The sequence below is a fragment of the Homo sapiens genome, chromosome 6, assembly GCF_000001405.40.
Source record: "Homo sapiens chromosome 6, GRCh38.p14 Primary Assembly".
In the NCBI taxonomy this organism is placed as follows: Eukaryota; Metazoa; Chordata; class Mammalia; order Primates; family Hominidae; genus Homo; species Homo sapiens.
Window position 1 is genome coordinate 46009566 of NC_000006.12, and position 23555 is coordinate 46033120.

The 23555-nt window shown below is 41.0% G+C and overlaps 1 protein-coding gene and 1 pseudogene across 11 annotated transcripts in view, besides 4 other annotated features; one reads left to right on the top strand and one right to left on the bottom strand.

Moving 5' to 3' along the window:
• Positions 1-23555, bottom strand: part of CLIC5 (chloride intracellular channel 5) — a 248993-nt gene that overhangs the window by 128739 nt on the left and 96699 nt on the right. For 5 of the 11 annotated variants that reach the window (XR_007059275.1, XM_047418896.1, NM_016929.5 and 2 more), the window contains exon 1: positions 5915-6295. The exons of the other annotated variants lie outside the window; for them this stretch is intronic. Coding sequence is in view for 4 of the 5 variants with exons in the window: in XM_047418896.1 (XP_047274852.1) it covers positions 5915-5977 (63 nt within the window). In the remaining variant the exon portion in view is untranslated. Of the gene's footprint in view, positions 1-5914; positions 6296-23555 lie in introns of those variants that run through there. 11 annotated transcript variants of the gene reach the window in all.
• Positions 1930-1979: an enhancer, noted in NCBI's record as "active region_24648". NCBI's record gives its function as "activates an Ori minimal core promoter by ATAC-STARR-seq in GM12878 lymphoblastoid cells {active_cell/tissue: GM12878}" and the evidence as "EXISTENCE:reporter gene assay evidence [ECO:0000049][PMID:35858748]".
• Positions 5408-6252: an enhancer, noted in NCBI's record as "H3K4me1 hESC enhancer chr6:45982710-45983554 (GRCh37/hg19 assembly coordinates)". NCBI's record gives its function as "activates a minimal SCP1, AML or CMV promoter by ChIP-STARR-seq in naive and primed H9 embryonic stem cells {active_cell/tissue: H9 hESC(naive and primed)}" and the evidence as "EXISTENCE:reporter gene assay evidence [ECO:0000049][PMID:30033119]".
• Positions 5946-5995: a silencer, noted in NCBI's record as "silent region_17268". NCBI's record gives its function as "represses an Ori minimal core promoter by ATAC-STARR-seq in GM12878 lymphoblastoid cells {active_cell/tissue: GM12878}" and the evidence as "EXISTENCE:reporter gene assay evidence [ECO:0000049][PMID:35858748]".
• Positions 6253-7097: an enhancer, noted in NCBI's record as "H3K4me1 hESC enhancer chr6:45983555-45984399 (GRCh37/hg19 assembly coordinates)". NCBI's record gives its function as "activates a minimal SCP1, AML or CMV promoter by ChIP-STARR-seq in naive H9 embryonic stem cells {active_cell/tissue: H9 hESC(naive)}" and the evidence as "EXISTENCE:reporter gene assay evidence [ECO:0000049][PMID:30033119]".
• RNU6-754P (RNA, U6 small nuclear 754, pseudogene) lies at positions 9180-9286 on the top strand (annotated as a pseudogene).

Consider the following 23555-nt stretch of genomic DNA (forward strand, 5'->3'; position numbering starts at 1 on the left):
GGATGTGTTCTGGGTAATAGTTTTTTAATAGATACCAGAGAGTGAGAGCCTACGACATTTTCCCCATAATCCTGGTAGATAATACGTGTGCATGTGTGAGTATATTTGATGAGAGCACCTATGGCTATGCATAGCTGGAAGATTGTTGAGGAAGGGGTAGTAAAATCTGCAAAGAGAACCAGGGATCCTCTTGAAAATAAAGAGGATCCTTTACCCTGGCCTGGCTACCAGGAGCCTTGGGGAAGCAGTTATGTAGGAGCTTTCTTGGATGAGGGAGCAACTGACAGGAGGAATCAACTTCCCCTGAGTTTGAAGAACCCAGTGGGTCAGGGATCTGCAGTTACCCTGTAGTCAGTCCAACCACATTACTCCAGACATGGGCTCTAGTGGGCTCCAGCTTATGGAGCAGCAGTCCAGTCAGAGGCAGTCAGATCCAGTGGTGGTTGCACTGTACTTCAGTTGCCATTGGTCTGCAGCAATGAGACTCACTGCTTGTGTTCTCAGGGGTCAGCTCCAACAATCGGGAACATTTCTCTTCCAGTTCCCTGAATGACGACCTGCTTTGGAAACTTACATTTTCTTTCAAGAAGTATCTTGGTTCTGAGATGTGAGATTCAGCTGGTAGGACTGAGCCTCTGACTTCTTGTACACATCAAGGGAGGGAAGCCCAAGGGCTTTACTTTTACTTATTGGGCTACATGGAGCCTACAGAGAAAGACTTACTAATAGGCCAGATCCATACTCAGCTTGAAATGCTGACACCAACTCCATGAAAGATGTGCTGCTGCTATTAGCACTGCACTGGTTAAAACAAAAAAAAAATCTGTGGTCCAGAGAGGTCAAGCAGCCCATCCTGGCCAACACACTGGTGAACCCGAGCCTGACACCAAAGTTTCACTCTTCCACCACATCTCTTGCCACCACTAACATGGGGCCAGCAGCTGACAACTCAAAGGGAACCAAGAATGAGAAGTTTTTGACCTAACTGACTGTCTAAATTGACAGACGCTTTGTCTTGCATGGAGGGGGCCAATAAATGCCCAAAGAGACAACACAAGTCATCAGGGATGCAGGAGCTCTCAACACTGGCAGTGGACGTCAGCTTCTGCAGACCCAGTCCTCATTCCCACCACCCTGCCATGGCACTTCAAATATGCATCATACAACTCTTGACGCTAGCTCTCCAGGGATGTGTTACCAGGAGAAGAAGCACTCACTGCCATAGCAGGGCAGGCAAATTTGTGTATTGCGTTATTGACTACAGATCAAAACCTGAAGATAGTGGGAAAGAAAAACACAGTAGCTTAATATGATGAAGGGAACTTTAAAAACCTAGTGAGCTCATGCTTAGGCAAGCGGCCCAAGGTGACCAGGCAGTCACAGTAGCTCAGGGACATAGAGGCGACACCACAAGATCTGATCCTATCTGTTCTGGAAGTCAGATGACCACACCACGAGTCACCACAACTTGTATTGCACCCTGCACCACTCAGAAACTTTTGGGCCACTCAATAAATGAAAGACTAGTCGTTTCCATCAGACAATTAGCAGAACTCTGTTTTACTTCCCCCATGCTGAATTGATGATTCTTTGACTAGACCAACCCTATACACGATTGTTCTGGAGTCCTGTGGATAGGGCTTAATAGTTCGTCAGCATCTGTTAACTGGGCAGTGATTGGATGCAAGCTTTCTATCAACAACACTTCTGACCGTGATGCCCTGAGGCTGTTAGAAGTTCTGGACATTTAATCAGCATTAGCAAGGCCACCTATGTCAGCGGTGGCAGAAGCTGCCTGCTATTGGACCTGCCTCTGATTATGACTCAGTGGCTCTCCACCAGGGCTGCACGCTGGAGCCACCTGAGAGTGGATATGAAAATATTGTTTCAGGGTCCCACCCACAGACACACTGATGTAATCGGCTTGGGGAGCAAACTGCCATCAGAAGTTTTAAAATCTCTCTCAATGGATTGAATAGGTAGTGAAGGCTGAGAACCACTGGTTTCTGTTGAAACCTCAGTTCCTGGCTGAAGAGACACTTGCGGCGAGCTTGTCTGTATCATTAGTCACTTCTGGGGTCCAGGGGTGAGACTGGGAGTGGAGGAAGCAATGCAAATGGGTGGAATGCCTTGATCTAACCTACACAGCACATCCTGTGTTTGTCTTTTCAAATTGCTTTCTGTTTTGCTTTTACTTCCTTGCTCTATTTCTTTCAATAAACCACACTCACTGCCATTACCTCTAGCCTGTTGTCCTCCTCTTAGGATCAAAGTCCAAGCTACATATTATCTCATTTACTCTCAAAATATCCCTGCAAGTGAGGAAGGAGCCAGGCCTTTGTTCCCCAAGGCAAATCAGGGACGTGCAGGTCCAGAAAGGTTCAGTCTGCCATGGGACTCATAATATTCAAGTCAGTGTGTTTACAGCAATTTTCAATTTACAAAGTGTTTTCACCTATGTTCTCCCATGGAATCCTCACAGCAAATCTACAATGACAGTATTTTCATAACCAGAATGACCACACATCCTTATTTGCTCCCAAACTATCCTGGGTTATACCTGTGGTTCCAGCCTAATTATTGATATCATTCCCTTTCACTCTCAAAAGTGTCTAGATTTGGACAATAAATTATATGGTCTCCTTATTTATAACCATGCTCTTGTTTTAAGAGGGCCAGTGAGGCTCCTGAAAGTTAAATAATTTGTTCAGGATCATTTAGCTAATTAGAGGCAGAGGCAAGACTTGAACTCAGGTACTGCATCTCCAAATCCCTGCGCCATCCACAGGTATTATGGGACATTAGAATCAGAGTTGACATGATCTAACATTTCTTATTGTAGAAACTAAAAATGTGGGGAAATAATCTCTTAAAAGTCACTGTCAGAATGTTCCCCGAAAGGGAAAGACTCGGAGTACATAGCAGAAATGGGTTAGTCTCCTTGGAAGCATTCTATGAACACATTAGAATGGATTAATAACATAAATAAATGTCACCATGATGGCACTTGAAAGCCTAACTTGGCAAAATAAGGTATCAGGCCTGACATATAGGTATTTGGAAAAGAGCAAGAAATTCAAAGTCTAAACTGCTAGATTTGAGGACTGGATCTGAATGCTATCTGCCATCTACCTTTGGGCATTTTACCTACTTTCTGTGAGCACATGTATTGTTCAACAGAACAGGAGGAATTATCATTCTTAGTTCCCTGGGCTGTTACAAGAAGAGCAAACTGCAGCTCATCAAGTGCTCTGACAGCGAGTCTCATAAGGTACCTGTGAATCCAGTTTATTTGTTTTCTTTATCTTTCACATAAGTGAATCAAGCCTTATAAAGTTGCTGATGATCAAATGAGATAAGGTATTTGAACATACTTATTATGTCCTAATATGCTGCAATCTTTCCTTCTTCTTATCATTATCATTATCAGCAGTAGTAGTAACAGATAATGACTATCAATTGACGTGGGAGACAATTACAATTACATGTCATTGTGAAACTCATTAGGTGACTGTGATTTAGAGTGGTACACCCAGTGGAAACAAGAGGTTGGGAGGTCCTTCCAAGGGGGTGTTGAAAATGACCAAGTCATGACTATAACTGGGTGGGACCCATCCTTCTTGGAAGTCTTCATAGAAACCAACCCACCCTGCCCTGCAGAAAGAGCTTCAGTTACCTGACACCATCAACAAGAAGGCCTTTCTTTTTATGGGGAATCATGTACCTCAGAGAAACTCCAAACTTTGGAAAAGTGTGATTCTGTCAACAAGGATATTGCTTCCCTCAAATGACACAGTTCAAGTAAGGCCTGGGCAGCATCTTTATTTCACAATATTTCTAGCCTTTACTTGTCCCATTTACTTGTAAATGAGAACTGCTAACCTGAAGCTCAAAAAGATGGGGTTGAGGGAGGAGTCAAAACAACTTTCATACCTGATGTTTTGATCTCCCCATCAATCTGGTTTTTGAGCTAGCCATGAAGGCCTGCCTGGCTCTCATTGATTTCCTTTAGGGAAAAAACAAATGACAACACAGTCATTTTAGAATTATTTGGGGAACGCTGCAAATTGTGCAGTAAGGTTTTTATATAAATGGAGAGACTCTCCAACACTGCCAACAAGAAAATTCCAAAGGTGCAGGTAGAATCGGTCTCCACACCTAGGAGTGGGGCAAAGGGCTCCTTTGGTTCTAAAGAACCTATTTGTGTTTCAAATATCTTTCAGAAACTTGACACCTTGAAACTACCACTCTCAAGGAATCTGAGTAAGTCCTAGAATCGCTTTCTTCAAGGAGAGCAGCAAGACTCATCGCTTTGTTAAAGCTCTCCCTATTCACCCCTAGGGCCCAGGCCTGGATGCTGGGGTTCAGAACACCCCCTTGCTGCCCTAAGGTCCAACACTACCCAGCATCAGACGAGAAATGACCTCCTTTATTACCTGGGTCTGCCAAAGGACCTGGAAATCCAGCCTGGGGTGGGGGTGGGGGGAGTCCCAGAAACCAAAGGAGCACACAGGGGCCACAGTGGGAAGAGAACAGGCTGAAGAAAGCAAGTGTCACTAAATGTCAGGTGTAAGCTTGAAAAATAAACACAAAGAATGTAAAACCCAGCAGAAGAAATTTAACAAACCTTTGTGGTAGGCTGGGACAACGGAGACAGATCACGTACCAAGTGTAAAGTAAGTCACATTTTAAGAGTCAGAAAGTACCAAAGACCACAGATTGTTATCAAGGTTTATGTAGATCTCATACTTTTTGCAAACATCTATTTAATTAGCTTGTAGAGAAGGATCTTTTGGGCAAAATAACATTTTCCCAATTCCAGGGAATATTTATGCCTTTTAAATTCTGCCAGGAGGCCCCTGACAGGCACCAGTGACTCTTCCCTTCTCAGCGATCTGCATATTTCTAGGGAAACTTTGCACTGAGAGAGTTTTCCCCCTTTGTGAAAGGTCTTGGCGCCCAGGCAGTCCCCGACTTCCCCTCCCCCAAGTCCTGGCGACTGTTTCTGCTCAGCCCTGGAGGCTACTCTCCCGCAGCCTCAGGTTTCCCTACTTCTGCAGCGTCGGCACCAAGGGCTGATCAAATGTTTCTTTCTCCTTACACCGGCGGACCGGGAAACGCCGCCGCAGCCTCGCCTCCATCCTTCCTCCTACAGGTTGCAAATAAAGTACAGCAGCTCTGACATTAGGCAGTTTCTGTCCAAGGAGCAAGGTGACTTCATTTAATTTGCACTGTGCTCCTTCATCCCTGTCTGCATCAGGTTGAACGGGAGGCTCTCCCTACTACCAAACGCCTAACATTTCCTTGATACTGCCTTGAAAAATCATGATTATGACAAAAATAATAACGTCGGAGAATGGAGTGCTTGTTTTCTGCTTTGCAAGTCACCAAGCAAGAAAACACTTTTGTCTCCTTGGCTTTTATTTTAGGATCTCTGAGCGAAAGAGAGAAAGAGAATTTTAAGAAATGTCATTTTCGCTTTGCCAAAGATCATTGTGTCAATAACGTTTCTCTCCCATTCCTCCCCCTCCTCCCGTTTTAAAGGAAAGGTTCACGGGTCCAGCCAGGTTTCTGCCGCATCCCGACACCTGGAGACGTCTTTCAGGACCAGCCTGAATCGCGTCCGGGCTGGGCTCTGGACTCGGACTCGCAGCGGTGACAGCGGAGGCGGGGACGGGGGTGGACAAACTGCGGATCAACTCTCCGAGAAGACGGCCACCTGCCGGAACCTGCCTTCCTCCATTCCGCCCAGGAGCCTCGCAGCGGGGCGCTGGCCTGCGGAAAGGCCACGGGGGAGCACAGGGCTCCGCGCCGCCCTCCTGGGAGGGTCCGGAGTCCAGCGCACCCCGAGCCCTGGTGGGTGAGCCCGGCGGGAGGCGCGGCAGGTGCGGCGGGAGACTGGACCCCGACCTACCTTCACAAAGAGCTCGATCTCGGGGTCCCTGTCGTCCCCGTTAGCTGTCGCCGAGTCTGTCATGCCGTTGGCGCCCGGGGCTACCGTCCCGGGCCGGGGAGGCGCCACCTCTGCAGCACCTGGGCCAGCACTCTGCGCTCCTGCCGCTGCCCAGCGGGGCTCCTCTTCAGGGCGGTGTTTAATTTTTCACAAAACCATCTATTCTCCAGCCCGAGCAGCGGGGTCTGAGAGATCAGTGTCCCAGATGCTCACATGAAAAGGAGCGAAGCCGGGAGGAGGCGGGGGGCCACGGGGAAAGCCGGGTTAAGGGAATGACAACAGGTCGTGGGAGCAACAAGTGCCGGGCTGCCCGGAGGTGTCACAGGATCCGCGACTGTCAGCGATCCCGCCGCCGCCAACGCGCCCAAAATAGCCGGCGGCTGCAGGGCGGGGTCAGCCGGGCGGGGACGCGGCGGGGACACCCCGGCAGCTCGGGCCTGGGCCGGGCCACGGCCCCCCGCCCCAAGACCCCGCAGGGCAGGAGGCGGAGACAGAGCTGGTCCTGGCAAAGCCACCAAGGCCAAGAGGATGTCCTGGGGGCGGATAATGAGGCGAAGGCAGAAAGAGTCGAGGAGAAGGGGAAGGGGAAGAGGAAGGGGAAAGGGGAAGGGGAAGAGGAAGGGGAAAGGGGAAGGGGAAGAGGAAGGGGAAAGGGGAAGGGGAAGAGGAAGGGGAAAGGGGAAGGGGAAGAGGAAGGGGAAAGGGGAAGGGGAAGGAAGAGAGGAGATGGCTCTCAAGTCTTCTGTTTCTTTAATAAAGCGTCAGCTCCTCCGAGTTACTCCACTACCAGCCTTACCCACTTGGAAAGCCCTTCCTGTCTTAGTGATGCTCAGAACCCCCACCAAAAGGGGCATTTGCCATCCTTGGGCTAAGCAAAAGGAGAGTAGGGTGCTGGGGACGGGCAGGGCAGGGCAGGGGTGGCTCCTGGGGCAGAGGGGTGAGTCAACCCGGTCAGGTGCGGCTTCCATGCCTTTCAGCCTTCTGGGTTTGTTTATTTTTCTTCTCCCTTCTTTCATTTTCTTTCTATTTCTTCCTTTATTTTCTGATCTTACTTCATTCCCGTTCTCTTCTGGTTGTTTTAGTGAAGTAGGATGCAAACACAGAAAAGATGCACATATCTTAGGTGTATGCCTCAATGAATTTTCACAATCCAACCCACCCATGTAACGAGCGCCAGATGAAGAATAAAATGTTAGCCACAGCCCTAGAAGCTCCTCCTGCTCTCTCCTCTCCACATCTTTTCTCCCGTCTCCACTGTCCCAGGGTAACCATTATTCTGGCTTGTAGCAGCATAGGATCTTTTTGCCTGGAATGTTGGTGTCTGGCTTCTTTCGCTCATTACTATGTTTGTGAGATTCATCCATTGTGCTATGTGTAGTTGTGTATCATCCATTTTCACCGACACACTTACTTATTCATTCTTCTGTCAATGGACATTTGTGCAGGTGACTATCATGACTACTCTGTCACGAACATTCTCTCTATCAAACATCTTTTGGTTGGATTCACAGACACTTTTCTCTTGGATGTATACTTAGGAGTGGACTTGCTGAGTTGTAGTGTATAAGAATGCTCTCCTTGTGTAAACACTGCCATAGGTTTTCTAAAGTGGTTGCACCAACAGACATTCCCACCCTTCAGTTCTTTAAAAAATAATTATTGAATGTTTTGCACCAGAATCTGGTGGAATTCTCTTTGTCTTCTTTGCCTTCTCTTTAATTAATCCTGTTTGTGCTATGTCCTTCCTTACTAAAAACATGTATTTGTTTAATAGCTTTATTAAAAAATTTATCGCTTAATAAAAAAATAAGTAATAATACTTATTATGTGCTAGGCAAAAATGTTGAGCACTTTACATGTGTGAACTTGTATAATATTTACAAATAGTATAATGATCCCAATTTTACAAGTGGGGAAACTGAGACATGAAGTATTTAAGTAACTTATCCCTAGTCATTCAGCTAGGAAATGGTGAAGTCAGGATTTAAACCCAGACAGACTTGAGCCTGTCCTCTCAACTGCTCTACAAACTGCTTTTCTTAGTGCACACTATGGAAGTGCACACTTTGAGGAAACAAAGGCATGGTTTTAACGGTCTTAACAGAGATCAAAATCCCTTTCAGAATAATAGTTACATGAAATGAAAACTAAGGCTGCCACATGAATTGGGAAGATGAAGGAGCTATACAAGCTGTCACGTAAAGATACTATTTACCATGGTTGGGGTGAGGAGAGGAAAAGGCTTCATGGAGCAAAAGGCACTTTAGCTGAACCTTCCTGAAAGGTCAGGCATCTGATAGGCAAAGAAAAGGGAAAGATGTCCTCACTACCCTTTATGGCAGGCTGTGTCCCCACAGACTCTCAGTGCAAATTCCTCCTTCCTGAAGAAAGCAGTCACCAAGCCCAACGTGCAACTCTCTTGGTACATTATAACTTAATCAAGGTGATGTTTAATTGCTTTCCTCCTGCTTGGCTTCAGGCTTACATCACCAAAGCCTTTAGAGAAACAGTCACCTTCACAGCTGTACATTCTGCACCAATGACTACATACTTTAGGGAAGGACCAAGGTTACAGAGGGAGACTGGTGCCTTCGCTGCATGATGCACAGACTCAGAACATCCCTGCACTGAAGTGTAGGCAATATTCTTAATGGCAATGTGGCAGTAGCAAATAAAATTATATGCATAAAATGTCTTCGAGGGTTTTGGTTTTTTGTTTTTTGTTTTAATGAAAAATGTGTTACACGTATTTTCGATCATTTCCTTGGCTATGATCTAAACAATGTGTGGTATGACTTCTCTTTCCTTAATCCCAAACCTATCAGAGTTAACTTTCATTTTATCTTCTCCAAATATCTACTGCTATTGTAAATTTGGACAGATCTCTTTCAATAACATTTTATAGGAAATATCTCCCATTTGGACATCCCTGCAGATAACTTATAGTTTTGATATTATAAAGCTTCATGCTGCAAAAAAAATAATTCTTCTTTGGTCATAAACTATTTCTGTGCATATTTTCCATTTTCAATTTCATATTATGCCTTAGCTCAAGATAAAAGGACTTTACTTTGTACCCTTTAATGTTAAAGAATAATTGGTTAGAGTCAATTCTAGCTTTGTCTGGAGAAAAACACTATATGTCTAATTCCAGCCCATAGTTTCACAAATGTGGTGCAAGTTTTGAATAAATTTTTACCAGGAAAGTACTTTAAAAACACATTTAGTGCTCACTTTGGCAGCACATATTCTAAAATGGAAACCATACAGAGAAGATTGGCATGGCTCCAATGAAAGGGTGACATGCAAATCTGTGTGACATTCATATTTTTGTATGACTGTTGAAAGTGAAAACTATAACATATCTGATAGCATTTTTAATATATTTAGATTCAATAATATGACCACTGCAGCATAAAGGGTAAAGGGCAAGGAATTTATACAGTTGTAAGGTTTATATACTTTACTTGATATAGTAAACTCTAAGTAGCCTGAGAAAAACTAGGTATGTGTATTGTAATCCCTAAAGAAACAGCTATTTGAGTTATAAAACAAAAGTATAGTAAAAAAAAAAAAGCCAACAGATAAGCTAAAATGGAATGACAAGAAATATTCAAATAATCTAAAAGGCAGAAAAGAGGAAGAGAATAGAAAACTGATAATAAAATGGTACACCTAAATATAACCATATTAATACTTAAGCTAAATATAAATGGTCTAAGCACATAAATTAAAAGCTGAAGATTGTTGGATTGCATAAAAAAGCAACAAGAAGACCCAACTATATGCTGTTACAGAATTCACTTCAAACACAATGTTATTGATAAATTAAAAGTAAGAGGATGGAAAAGCCCCTGCCATGCAAACACTAATCAAAAGAAAGCTGGGCCGGGCGCGGTGGCTCACGCCTGTAATCCCAGCACTTTGGGAGGCCGAGGCGGATGGATCATGAGGTCAGGAGATCGAGACCATCCTGGCTAACAAGGTGAAACCCCGTCTCTACTAAAAATACAAAAAATTAGCCGGGCGCGGTGGCGGGCGCCTGTAGTCCCAGCTACTGGGGAGGCTGAGGCAGGAGAATGGCGTGAACCCGGGAAGCGGAGCTTGCAGTGAGCCGAGATTGCGCCACTGCAGTCCGCAGTCCGGCCTGGGCGACAGAGCGAGACTCCGTCTCAAAAAAAAAAAAAAAAAAAAGAAAGCTAACCTCTAAATTAATATAATTATTAATAATATATAAACATATATTAATGTAAGTCTATTAGACAAAATAGACTTCAGAAAAAGGAAATTATCAGGAATAGAGACATTACATAATAATAATAATAATAACAGAGCCAGCTCACCAAGAAGATAGAACAACCTTAAATGCATATATACTTAATAACAGAGCTTCAATATTGATGAAACAATAGCTGATGGAACTGAAAGGAGAAAGAGAAATACAGAATTATAGTTAGAGACTTCAGTTCTCCTCTTTTGGTAATTTATAGCACAAGTAGACAAAAAATCCATAAGAATATAGAATATAGAAGACCTAAACAACACTATCAATAACCTTGACCTTATGAACATTTGTGGAATATCCCACCCAAACAACAACATAATATACACTATTGTCAGATATATATGGAACATTTACCAAAAGAGATCACATTCTGGGTCACAGAACAAACTTCATTACGTTAAAATAATGAAATTATACAAAGTATGTTCTCTGACCATAATGGAATCAATTAAATTAATATCCAGAAAGATATCCAAAACACTTCCAGTTATTTGGAAATTAAGCAACACACTTTAAGAAATTCATTGATCAACAAGGAAGCCTCAAGGATTATTAAAAAATATTTTGAACTGAATTCAAATGAACATACAACATATCAAAATTTGTGAGATGCAGCTAAAGCAACGCTTAGTAGAAATTTATACATAAAACACTTATTTTGGAAAATAATAAAGTTCTGAAATTTATAATCTAGGCTTCCATTTTATGGAACTAGAAAAAAGAACAGCCAGCTAAAACCAAAGCAAGCAAAAATAATAAAATAATAAATATAAAAACAGAAATTAATGAAATCGAAGAAAAAATAAAACAATAGAGAAAATCAATAATACTAGAGGCTGGTTTTTATCAAAGATCAATAAAGTTGATAAATTTCTCACTAGATTTACCAAAAAACTAGAGAGAGAAGATATATTATCAATGTTAGATACAAAAGATGGGATATCAACTATGAACTTCACAGATACAAAAAGATAAGGGAGTACTACAAACAACTCTCTGAACATAAATTAGACCATTTAGATAAAATGGATAAAAGACACAGACTAACAAAATTCACTCAATGAGAAGTAGATAACCTGAATAGTCCTATATTTATTAAACATATTAAATTCATAGTTGAAAGCCCTCCAAGAAAAGAAAACTACAGCCCCATATACCTTCATTAATGAATTCTACTAAACATTTTAGAAAGAATAACACCAATTCCATGCAATCTCTTCCAGTAATGAGAAGAGGAGGAAGTGAAGGACTTGTATCCAGGATTTGTAAAGAATTTTTACAACTCAAAAAAAAAAAAAAAAAAAAACCCAGCTAAAAAAATAGGCAAAATATCTGAGCAGACACTTTAACCTAGAAGACTTACCAATGGCAAACACATGAAAATATGCTCAACGTTCTTCAGTAGAGCAATGCAAATAAAGAGATACCACAATATACCTATTAGAATGGTTACAATGTGCATTCATGATAATCCCATGTGTGAGCAAGAATACAGAGCAACTGGAACTCTCATACATTGATGGTAGGAATGCAAAATTGTACAGTCATTCTGGACAGCAGTTTGGCATTTTCATATAAAGTCAAATGTACACTTACTATATGGCCCACTTACCATCTTCTGGGTATTATCCAAGAGAAATGAAAACTTATGTTTACATAAAACCTTGGTACATAAATTTTTTTTTACAAAAGTATTATTCATAATTGCCCCAAACTGGAAACATCCCCAAATGTTCCTCAATGGGTAAATGAATTAAAAAAAGTGATAACATTTATGCAACGGTATATCACTTAGCGATAAAAAGAATGAGCTATTAATTGGTGCACAACACAGGTAAATCTCAAATGCCCCATATTAAGTGAAAAAGAAAAGCAGTCTCAAAAGGTTACTTACTGTATGGTTTCATTTACATGACATTCTGGAAAATAAAAAAATTATAGGGATGGAGAGAAGATCAGTGGCTGCCAGGGACTGGGATAGATGAGGGCTTGATTACAAAGGGGCAGCTTTCAGCTGATAGAACTACTTTGCATCCTGTTTGTGTCATTGGTTACACACATTTCTGTATGTGTTAAAATATACAGAACTACACACCAAAAAGGTGAATTTTCTGTATGCAAATTTAAAAAATGATCAAAATGCTTAAATAATTTCCAAAAAGGTAAAGCCATCAGGTTCTATTGCCATACCCACTTTCCACACAGTCTTTGCTTCAAATCTGTAACATCAGACCTCATCTTACCATTAATTTCAGAAATGTAAAAGAGATTTCTATTTTATGAGATGCAGTGCTTCTAATTAGGCTGATCAACAAAATAAAACAAACTTTCATTGAAATAACAAAACAAAATAAACATATTTAGACAGTGTGTTTGTGTGTGTGTGTTATGAAATGACATGTACTGTAAAATAATGATGATGCTTATGGGGAGATTTTTCAGAAAATGCTTGCCCTACCCACTACCGGAGTGCAATCACATTATTAGTCACAAGTTCCAGCTTTTATGTACCTAGCAGTACTCAGTTGAGCCCACTCACTATACCCAGAGTAGCAGCTATTTCCATGGGAATTAAACAACTTACATTCTCTGCAGGAGATCTCCCAGACAATCTCAAGGACTTGAGGTTTAAGCTGGAAGATTTTGATGACAGCTTCAGAAAGACATTATGCCCTTGTGGGAGGACCAACTGGGTGTAGACGAAGGGAGGTGAATCCTAGAGGGATCACACCTGCATGAGGTCACAGATTGGGCTATGAGGGGGATTGAGGTGAGTTGTTAGTTCTATTTCTTTATAACCTAAGGTGTCCTTGGGCATGGCCAACATGATCAATGATCTTGGCTCTCACTGCAGTCTGTCTATTGGTGCTTAGCAAAGGCAGAGGCCTGGGAGTGAGCTGGACTGAAGTCAAGAGTCCTTGTCAAAAACCATCACTCATCCCACTGATTCACTCATTACTCATTCCTTCAACCAGTGTTTTCGGGGTGTCTACTATGTGCCAGACACCGCTCATACTCATTTTAGAAGCCCCTGAGAACATACAGTGTGCATACCACCTTCTGATGATGAGCAGTCTTAGTTCCTGTATTATTCCTTCCGGGATTGAGTTATGGCTTTTCAACTGGAGTGGAAGCTTCTTATGGACAGGAATCCAATTTTGTGTTTCTTTTGCAAGACCCACAGGATATAATGGTCCCTTGCTACATACTTACAAACAGGCTAATATGTCCTGTATAGTGCACATGCTCAATAAATAATTGTTGATGGAATCAATGAATGAATGAATAACCAGCACTTCTATTTGAAGTCTCCTCCATCTGGGATTTTGACCTTCCACCAGTGAAATGGACATTACAGTGTGGAGTTTTTATAAAGATTCTAATTTGAACTGAAACATATGAAAGAGTTACATCATAATAATAATAGTTAACATTTGCTTAGAGCTCACCATGTGTTGGGAACTCTGAAGTCCTTATTAGCTCACTTCATTTCTATAATAACCCTATGAGGTAGTGTTATTAATCCCATTTCACAAATAAAGAAGCAAAAACTTAAAAAGGGTAAGTAACTTATCCAAGGTCATGTGGATAGTTATAAACAACAGAGCTGGAACTCCCTCCATTGCTAAAGCCCAGGATGTGGTTGGAGGAGGTTGGGATGCTACTAGAAATTTAGAAATTGCTTACTGAATTGGTGGGATAAGTAAATGACTAGTCTTGGATAAGAAATGGCTAGGGTTGGGGATTCTGGAGTTCTCCTTTACTCTGCTTAAACTAAGACACACCCAGAGATGAAATGAAAAAGGAAACATAGGGTCCAAGAGATGGCACACAAAAATTAAAAAATACTCAGCCCTAGGAAATGGAAGTTATGGGAGCCAACGGGCAGAAGAAAAGTGATCTGAGGTCATCTTCTGTTGCATCACCGTGCATTTTTGGCAGGATTTACTGCTCTGGTGATTGTCCTCACTTAATGGTCAAGCTCCTACTTTAGCTTTGGCAAGATCACCTTAAAAATACAACTATTATACAAATACTTTTTAAAAACCTTGGACGGAGTCCAAGATAAATACATATAACAAAATTCAAAAAAAAAAAAAATCCACCCACAACTGTCACCTAGTATTACTCTGACCTACACATCTGATTTTCTTTTGGTGAACAGTCCATCTTGCTAATTGACCAGTAATGATCTTTAATAACTCAAAAAAGGGAATAGCATTAAAGAGAGCAAGGGTTGGGGGGAAAGCAAGGTTAGGGACATCGGGAATAGGAAGCCAGCAGTTACATTTGTGAGAGTAGAATGTAGAATATTTTGAGGGAATTGGGCAAACACCCACGATCACACAAATTAAAGTTCTGAAAATACAAATAAACAGTTGTCATAATCTTAGACAACTAGATTCCATTTGCCTTGAGTTACCCAGTTTCCTTGGGGATCTACCTTCCTCCATTCACAGTACCTTAGGTTGAAGTAAAGCCTTAAGGATGGTCAGGTGACTCATGTTGGCCAGTCAGAACACTGCAATCTCTAGTCACAGTGATTGGTTCAAAATGGGCACATGATCAACTGGGATCCAATGAGATTCAATTCTAGGACTTTTTCTCAGAAATTTAGAAGACCATTTTTACTTCTGCTGGACTTATAAAGAGACTAGGGTATGTTCCTAGAGCTCTTTGAACTATCCCACCACCACTAAGACAGAACCTGACTGAGAGTAAAGCCAACAGAGAGAAAACAAGAGCCAAGATACATAGAGAGGAAGCCCAAGTTCTGACTTGGATGTCTCAGTGCCTGAAACTTGATACCACTAGATTTTCCTGTCCTAATGGTTAGTAAAATTCTTTTTTGGCTCAGACAATCTTGAATTGAGTTTTCTAATGTTTGCAACTGGACATTTATTTATACTCACATTAGTTAGAATCTGTATAGAGGGCTGTAGGCAAGAGGTGGTCTATATGATAGAAAAAAGACCTCATGGCTATTAGAAGGTGGACATGAGGCATCAACACAGTGATACACTTTAAGAGTGACGCCAATCTTGAGGTGAATAAAAAGTATTAAAGTTCTAAATCCTCATAAAAACACAACAGTCTCCTAAGCTAAGATACAAAAGTAAAAATATGTTCAGGAATTGACAGAATTCCAGAGAAAGGCTATGTGTGTAGATTTAAGGTGATCATACATGGTACAGAATAAAAGTTAAAAAATAATAAATAATGTCTCCATTAATTGATTTTTTTTTCAAAAGAGAATGTCTTATAGTATAATAAAAAGAGCACTAGACTGAGATCCAGAAATTCTGAATTCAGGAATTTCTAGTCCTCTAATCTGGTGGTTCAACCTCTCGGAGCCTCAGTTCCTTTACCTGTAAGACAAAGATAACTATACTTTCCCTGAAATTTGTGTAGTTTGATTAATATTATTTATAAATATGTATAATGCACCCAACACAGTGACTGACCCATAAACAAAGAACAAAAGAGTTATTTTTCCCCAAATGTGTATAAGGGAGGCACTGAGCAAAGAATTTCAGAGGCAACATCTCACTTAATCCCTCACTGCAAACTTCAGTATGCGGGAGCTACTATTGTTACCTCATTTTGCAGATGAAGAAGCTGATATATACAAATTAGTGAGTGAGCTAGAAAGCGCTAGAGCTGGGGATTTGAATCCCAGGTTGTTAGAGTCCCAAGTATCTGCTTATAATGACCTCAATAAATAAGCACTAGCTAGTATGACTTTATTACTAATGTGTTTAAGTGAATAGTAAACCAAAGAAATAAAAATAGTAAAGGCCCAGCCTGGAAATGAAGGCTGAAGATCAGCTGCTGAATCATTCAAAAAAGGAAATGCTCCCAGGTAAAGAATGGAATGCTGGATGGCCTTTAACATGGTTTGGCTCTGTGTCCCCACCCAAATCTCATGTCGAATTGTAATCACCACGTGTCAGGGGAGAGACCTGGTGGGAGGTGACTGGATCATGAGGACGAATTTCCCCCTTGCTGTTCTCATGATAGTGAGTTCCCATGAGATCTGATGGTTTAAAAGTCTGTGGCACTTCCCCCTTTGTTCTCTCTCTCTCCTCCCGCCAAGTAAGACATGCCTTGCTTTCCCTCTGCTTTCTGCCATGATTGTGAGTTTCCTGAGGCCTCCCAGCCATGTGGAATGGTGAGTCAATTAAACCTCTTTTCTTTATAAATTACCCAGTCTCAGGTATCTCTTTATAGCAGTATGAGAACGGACTGATATAGCCTTCATCTTTATTTCACTGTTTCTCCCTGGTATGGCATGAGCTCTTTGAGCAACATAAGAAATTATTTCCTGAAAGACATAAAATACTATTGAGAAAATTACAAGTGCTTTCTTGGAGATGAACAGCATTGGTCTAGCCTGAATTATTATTATTATTTTTAAGAAGAATCTATCCTAAAGGTGGGGGAAGCAATGTAAAAGTCCTCCTGTAGAATTCTAGGAACATGTCTGTATTTAAGCTGTTTTCTGTTTCCATATACATCCTTATATATGCATCGCTCTCCAATTTAGAATCTCAAAGAAATAGAATAAAACATTTTCTGGTCCTAGTGAGGCAGACACAGAGGAAATTCATTTCTGTAGCACTATAATAAGTAGTTCTCTTTAATCTATATTCAGGAAGGTAGCTTTGATTCCGTTTTTGTCATGTACTTTACTCAACTGTGCAATCTTTTATGATCTGCCAGGAAGATTACTCCTATCCCCATAAAACTTGGTTGACAGAAAATCAGAGAGCATTATTTTAATTGCTTCAATTTCCTTCTTCCAAGGAGAAGGCAGAAAGTTCTTCAAATATCTCAATTTCATTAAATTCAACAAACACTTCCTGGGCAGCTGTTCTGTGCCAGATGTTGTACTCAATGCTGGGGATAAATTTATGAGTAAGACCCAGGCCTTGCTCACAAGGAGATCATAGTGCTCAAAATGCATGTGGGGTGCTCCCACCCCTCACCCCATTTCCAGCTAAGTAGACACAATATGCTTTTAGGAAAATACAATTGAAATAAAGCTAACAGCATTGAGAAAAGATGCTCCTTGTCTAAGTTTGAATAACCAGAAGACGAGATAACCAGAAGATGAGATAGCACCAACTGCCTCACAAATGAGATAGTAATCTCATTTGTGATTCCACTGAGATGGCAATTGCCATAATTATCATTTTCACATGAATTTATCTACTGACCACCTATTTATATCTTAGGTGCTCCGAGAGACATTGAATATACCTTAGGGAATAAAACAGTTGTGAACATCCTGTGCCTGGTGGGTCTTGCAATCCATTGTGGGAGACAGAACAAACACATAAGCAAACAAATAGATGTACAATATTAAATTATGATCAAAGCTAACAAAGGAATCTGGGTAGAGAATCACAGTGAAGGGGGTGAGGAAGCCTCCTGCACAGAGTTCCACTGGGAAGGCCTCTCTGAAGTGATGACATTTAAGCCCAGACCTGAAAGATGAAAAGGAGCTGTTCATTTGAAGACTGAAGGGAAGAGAGATGGGAACAGCATGTATGATGGCCCTTAGGTGGGACAAAGCATTTTATGCTGGAGGAGCTGAAGTACAAGCTTGAATTCCCCCATTATATCCCTATGGGGTCTACACTGTGGGATCACATTTTCACCTTTTCCTATGTAATTATATTATTCAACCTTTGTAGTTTCAATACATCGTTGGAGAAAATCTGCCCAGAAGTTTTCATTCAGTGAAAGAGTTCCAGCATAACCAATAATGATGGCTCCACTGAATATATGTTGAGTTTGCAGAAACTTACTTAGAAGAAACGATTTTTGTATTTCTCTGTAATTATTCATAATTTCTTCAATTAAATGCCTTTGCAAAAGTTAGCAATGCACTCCTGTGTATAAAAGATAAATATTATTCTAAGACACCTTTGCAATATAAATTTTTTATCTCAAAATTCCTCACACTTGGTTTTGCTCATTGGCAGCAACTACAGAAGGCCAGGACTTGTGGAGGATGGGAGAAACCTCTCCCAAAGGCTGATATTTTAGCTAAGTGATTTTATGCTTTTTAAAAAAATTGCATTGAAGTTCATTCCATTACATTGAAATTAATTCTTTTTTACCTTGCTCTTTTGTCACCTCGTAAATGGAATCATTGTTATTTTTTCTCTCTGATAAAATTAAGTCCCAGGATGAATAAAGCAGAATATAGACTCAGTCGTTTATCCCCCATTAACACAGCGCAAAGTCACTGCATCAATGGACACAAGACTTAATGCCCTTCATGAAGCCTCCCAACATTAATGTGGAAAGAGTCAAACTGCTGACCTAAGCTCTGCCTTACTCATAAGCACTGTCTCCTTGTGGGAAGTCAACAAATTAAAAGGCAGAAGGATGCAAAACAGCCATGCCAAAGTGGTCTGATTGAGTTCACCAGTCAACACCAATGCCTCCTCTGCTCCTTTCCAGCTGGTCATAGAGATGCTGCATGCCTGGCCATGTGAATGCTGACCATACAGCATCACTCATCCCTTCTCGGGAAGTCCCAGGTGGTTGGAGTCATTCACCACTGGGTGGCCATTTGCCTGCAGTGAATAAAAAATAAGGGGGTCCTGTCTGAACAATGAACAGTACTGACCCTCTGCATGCATTGGTCACAAATGAAGATAAAATATTGTAATATGAAAAGCTAACTAATACTGTACATGCATGATTATACCTCCCATTTATCAGTATTTGAAAATCTGTTTACATTCCTTTCTCTTCCAGTAAGTTATAGGTTATAGGTGCTTCTAAGCCATGTATGATCTATTTTCTCTCCCTCTCTCTCTATTAGACTTTGTTTTTATAACAGTTTTAGTTCACAGCAAAATTGAACTGAAGGTATAGATTTCCCATGTACACCCTGCCTCCACACATGCACAGCCTCCCCCATTATCAACATTCATCACCAGAGTGGTACATTTGTTACAACTGACAAACCTACATAGGCACATCATAGTCACCCAAAGTCCATAGTTTCATTAGATAGTTTACATTTACTCTTGGTATTATACATTCCATAGTTTTGGACAAATTTATAATAACATGTGTCTATCATTATAGTATCCTATGGAGTATTTTCACCGCCCTAAATATCCTCTGTGCCCTGCCTATTCATTCCTCCCCCACCCCCACTAACCCCTGGAAACCACTGATCTTTTACTGTCTCCATAGTTTCGCTTTCCCAGAATGTCATGTAGTTGAAATCCTACAGAATGAACCTTTTTCAGACTGAATTCTTTAACTTAGTAATATACATTTACGGTTCTTCCATGCCTTTCATGGAGTCTGTTCTTTCCTTATATCCCTAGCAATGAGCACAGTGCCTTACACAGAGCAGACACTTAACAAGCAGTTGTTGAATAAATGGGCAAGGGAATGAGTGTTTTTCATGGCACAGTTCACTTAACGGCTGTTTACTGAGGCTTTCTAAGTTCAGGCTCTCAGCCAGGCATCTTCAAACCATAATAATATTTGCATGGGATTTCCGAAATTATTATCTTATCATAACAGCAGTCCTGAGAGGTAGAAGAACAGACATTTTTCTTATTATCCCCATTTCAACAAGATCAGAAAACAGACACAGAGAAGTAAAGTGACTTGCCCAAGTTCCCTGAACTAGAAAGTGGAAGAGCCAGGACTAGCCTCTGTGACTCTCCAATGTACCTTTATGCCTTATCCTATATGTTGTCTCTCCTAAAACCTGGCTGTGGGTCATTGAAACTGACAAATGTTTAACAAGAAACTAATTCATGATGACATAGTAAAAGGTGAGGACTGAAAGAGGCCCTCTTCCCAACCTTGTTTCTTAGGGGAGCCCATCTTCTTACAAAAAAAAAAGTGTATCCTTGGCTTTGACAGTGCAGCCCACACCAGTGAACCTCAATTTTCCATTCACCACAAGCAAACTACTGTTGGGCTGCAGAATTGACATCTTTCTGGGGAAGGAAAGTTTAACAACTGATCAACAAGTAGTTCGCTCCCATTCAACAGTAAAGAATTGCACTGATGAGCTTCCCCTGCTCCTGTTAGGGATTAAAAGGGCTTCAAGAGTCCAGACCAGAATTCATTCCAGATCTGCAGTTGTGATGGGCCCTCAAAGGGAAATGAAGTTACCCTGGGAGTTATGCCTGGCTATAAGTGAGTTATAGGGGAGGCTCATGAAGGTCCCTGCCTTGAAATCCAGTCCCCTCCTGAATTCATTCATTCTCCAATTTTAACTTTTAGCCTTTGTAACCTCCTTGAGAGCCTCATACGTATATATAAATGTCTGCCGAGAACCTCCCTTGAGTGTCCTAGTTTTCTCAAGGTTAGTATTTCCAAGATAGTGCACTACCAATTTCTTCCCCAAATCCTGTCCATATCCCGCATTTTCTTTACCAGTGAGTGACATTGTCATAGATCCTATCACTAAAACCAGAAACCAAGCCCATATTTTTGTTTAATCCTTCCATCATCTCAAGTCCAATTAGCCACCAAGTGTCTACTCTGAGATCTCTCTACCCTTCATCCTCATTACTGCAGCCTCATCACCTTATTTCTGAATAAACATAGAACCTTCCTAACTGCTCTTTTGCTTTCTCTCTTTCTTGGCCACCCATTTCATCCCTCAAATCCATCCTTCTCTTGGTAGCCAGGACATGCCATCTACAATTTGTGTCAGGTCACACCCCGCCCTTGCTCAAAACCCTTTAGTGGCTCGGCATGGACTGCACTCCCCAGAATGATGTACTAGGTTGGGACCTGCTCCCTGTGTTCTTCCCATCAGTCCACCTGACCTCCTGTGCCTTCAGGCTCTATAGATTCTGGGAAACCCTAAAATGGCTTGATTTCCTACATGCACACCTTGCTGTTCCAAACCTCCATGCCTTTGCTCATGTTGCTTGAAATACTTTCTTCATGTTTCCTCATCCACCTAAGTTGTCATCATCCTTAAAACTCATGCTCCCACAGCACCCTGTGCAAACCTCTACTCTTGCTCTATTACATGGAAATTATTTGTTTATGTATCTGTTGCCTTTTAGAACTAAGATCTTCAAGTACAGGAGACATCTAATCATCCCTCTATTCATCACTTCTTGCAGCGAAATTCTCATTTTAAACATCTGAAGCCCTAACAAACCATCATGTTTTAAAAAGAAGAAATTGTGTTTCTTATGTGCTAAGTACTGTTTCCCTGTACCTAGCACAGATGCAGGCACATAGTATATGTCTATATCAGTCTCTGTCTACATTTACTCATTTTATTCAACAAATATTTATTAAGATCCTATTTTATTCCCATCACTGTGTTTTGCAGAATATGAGATGTTGCTCCAGTTCTTGAAGTTCTTATGTACTAAATAATATAAGCAGTGCATTTAAAATAGTAAGTTGCTGGATCCCTTGCCCCTCATCCTTTCTGCAGAATATGCTGTCTTCAGTACATGATTATTTGCTGTGTGCCAACGGGTGCCATAATGAAAATAATAAAATACAATATATGAAAACAACAAGGTGAGCCTTGACTCTCAGTAAAAGATGTGAACACTTAGTTCATTGAAAAAGGAATGCAGGGATAAATAAATATATGAAAAGGCATCCTACTAAGCTAAGAAAATCAAGTTGCACCAGGAAGAGATTTTCTCATTTATTCAATTGGTAAAATGTTCAAAAGATTTGTAATAAAAATTGTGGGTAAGTCTGCAATGTGGGTAGGAAGTGTATATTGGTACAATATTTTTGGTGGGCCTATTATCTATTCAAGTTGAAGACAAATTTGGGCCTTATAATGGTCAAGAGGTCCACTGATAGGAAACTCTTAAGTGAGCAAAGGATGTATGTACCAAACTAAATGTCCTTTTAGTAGGAGATCAATGGGGTACATTTTGGTGCATCCATATAAGAAAGGATATCATAAAAAAATATGGAATGACATGAAAAGAAGCCCTTGATATGTTGTTAAGTGAAAAAAAAATCAAACTATGAAAGAGTGCATATAGTCATTTCATCTTTGTAAAATATATATATACACATATATATATAACATATATATATACACACATATATATATACAACATATATATGTACACAACATATATATATATATACACACACACACACACACAACAAATATATATATATGTGTACATATATATTTCCTGGAAGGCTAGATACTAAATTGTAAATAGTGGTGTATTAGTCCATTCTTGGACTGCTATCAAGAACTATATGAGACTGAGTAATTTACAAAGAAAAGAGATTTAATTGACTCAGTTCCATAGGCTGTACAGGAAGCATGGCTGAGAAGGCCTCAGGAAACTTACAATCATGGTGGAAGAGAAAGGAGGCATGGCTTACATGGCTATAGCAGGAGGAAGAGAGAGAAAGGGGAGGTGCTACACACTTTTAAACAACCAGATCTGATGAGAACTCACTCACTATCATGGGAACAAAAAAGGGGAAGTCCACCCCCATGATCCAATCACCTCTGATCAGCTTCCTCCTCCAACAATGGGAATTGCAGTTCATGAGATTTGGGTGGTGACACGAATCCAAACCGTATCAAGTGGTTATTTCAGGATAGTAAGATTGGGGAGGGAGAACTTTTCAGCTTTTACTTTATGCATTTTTATATCATCTGACTTTCTCCTTTTTTCACAAGAAGTTAGGTGTTAGTTCTAATTAAGTGTTGGGGAAAGGCCAAGGCATGCCAGCATGCTGGACTCTGCCCAACCCACACAGAATCCCTCAGGCTATGTGTGCTGCCTCCAACCCCCCATATGAAGTCAACCACGTTTATCTTTGGGAAGTGAATTTCCTCATCTACAGACTCATCCCTGGATTCAGAAACCTCTTTTCATTCATTCCATAAACACATATTGAAATCCTCTTCGTGCCCTTATTCTTAAGTCTGCCAAAGCCGAGAGGAACTTAGTGAGCTACTCGGGCTGGTCACACCTGCATCTTAAAAGCAACTCTCAGAGAATACATTACATAACACAAAAGCCTGATTTCCATGTGAGGGGAGCAGAGGAAGCAGTTTCCAAGGACAATCTGTAGCAGAATCACTTAGGGAGCTTCTTAAAAATGGATTTCTCTGAGCTCCTCTCACAAATATTGAATCTAAGGGTAGGGCCTGGAAATCTACATTTTTTTTTTTTTTTTTTTTTTTTTGAGATGGAGTCTTGCTCTGCCACCCAGGCTGGAGTGCAGTGGCGTGATCTTAGCTCACTGCAAACTCCGCCTCCCGGGTTCAAGCAATTCTCCTGCCTCAGCCTCCTGAGTACC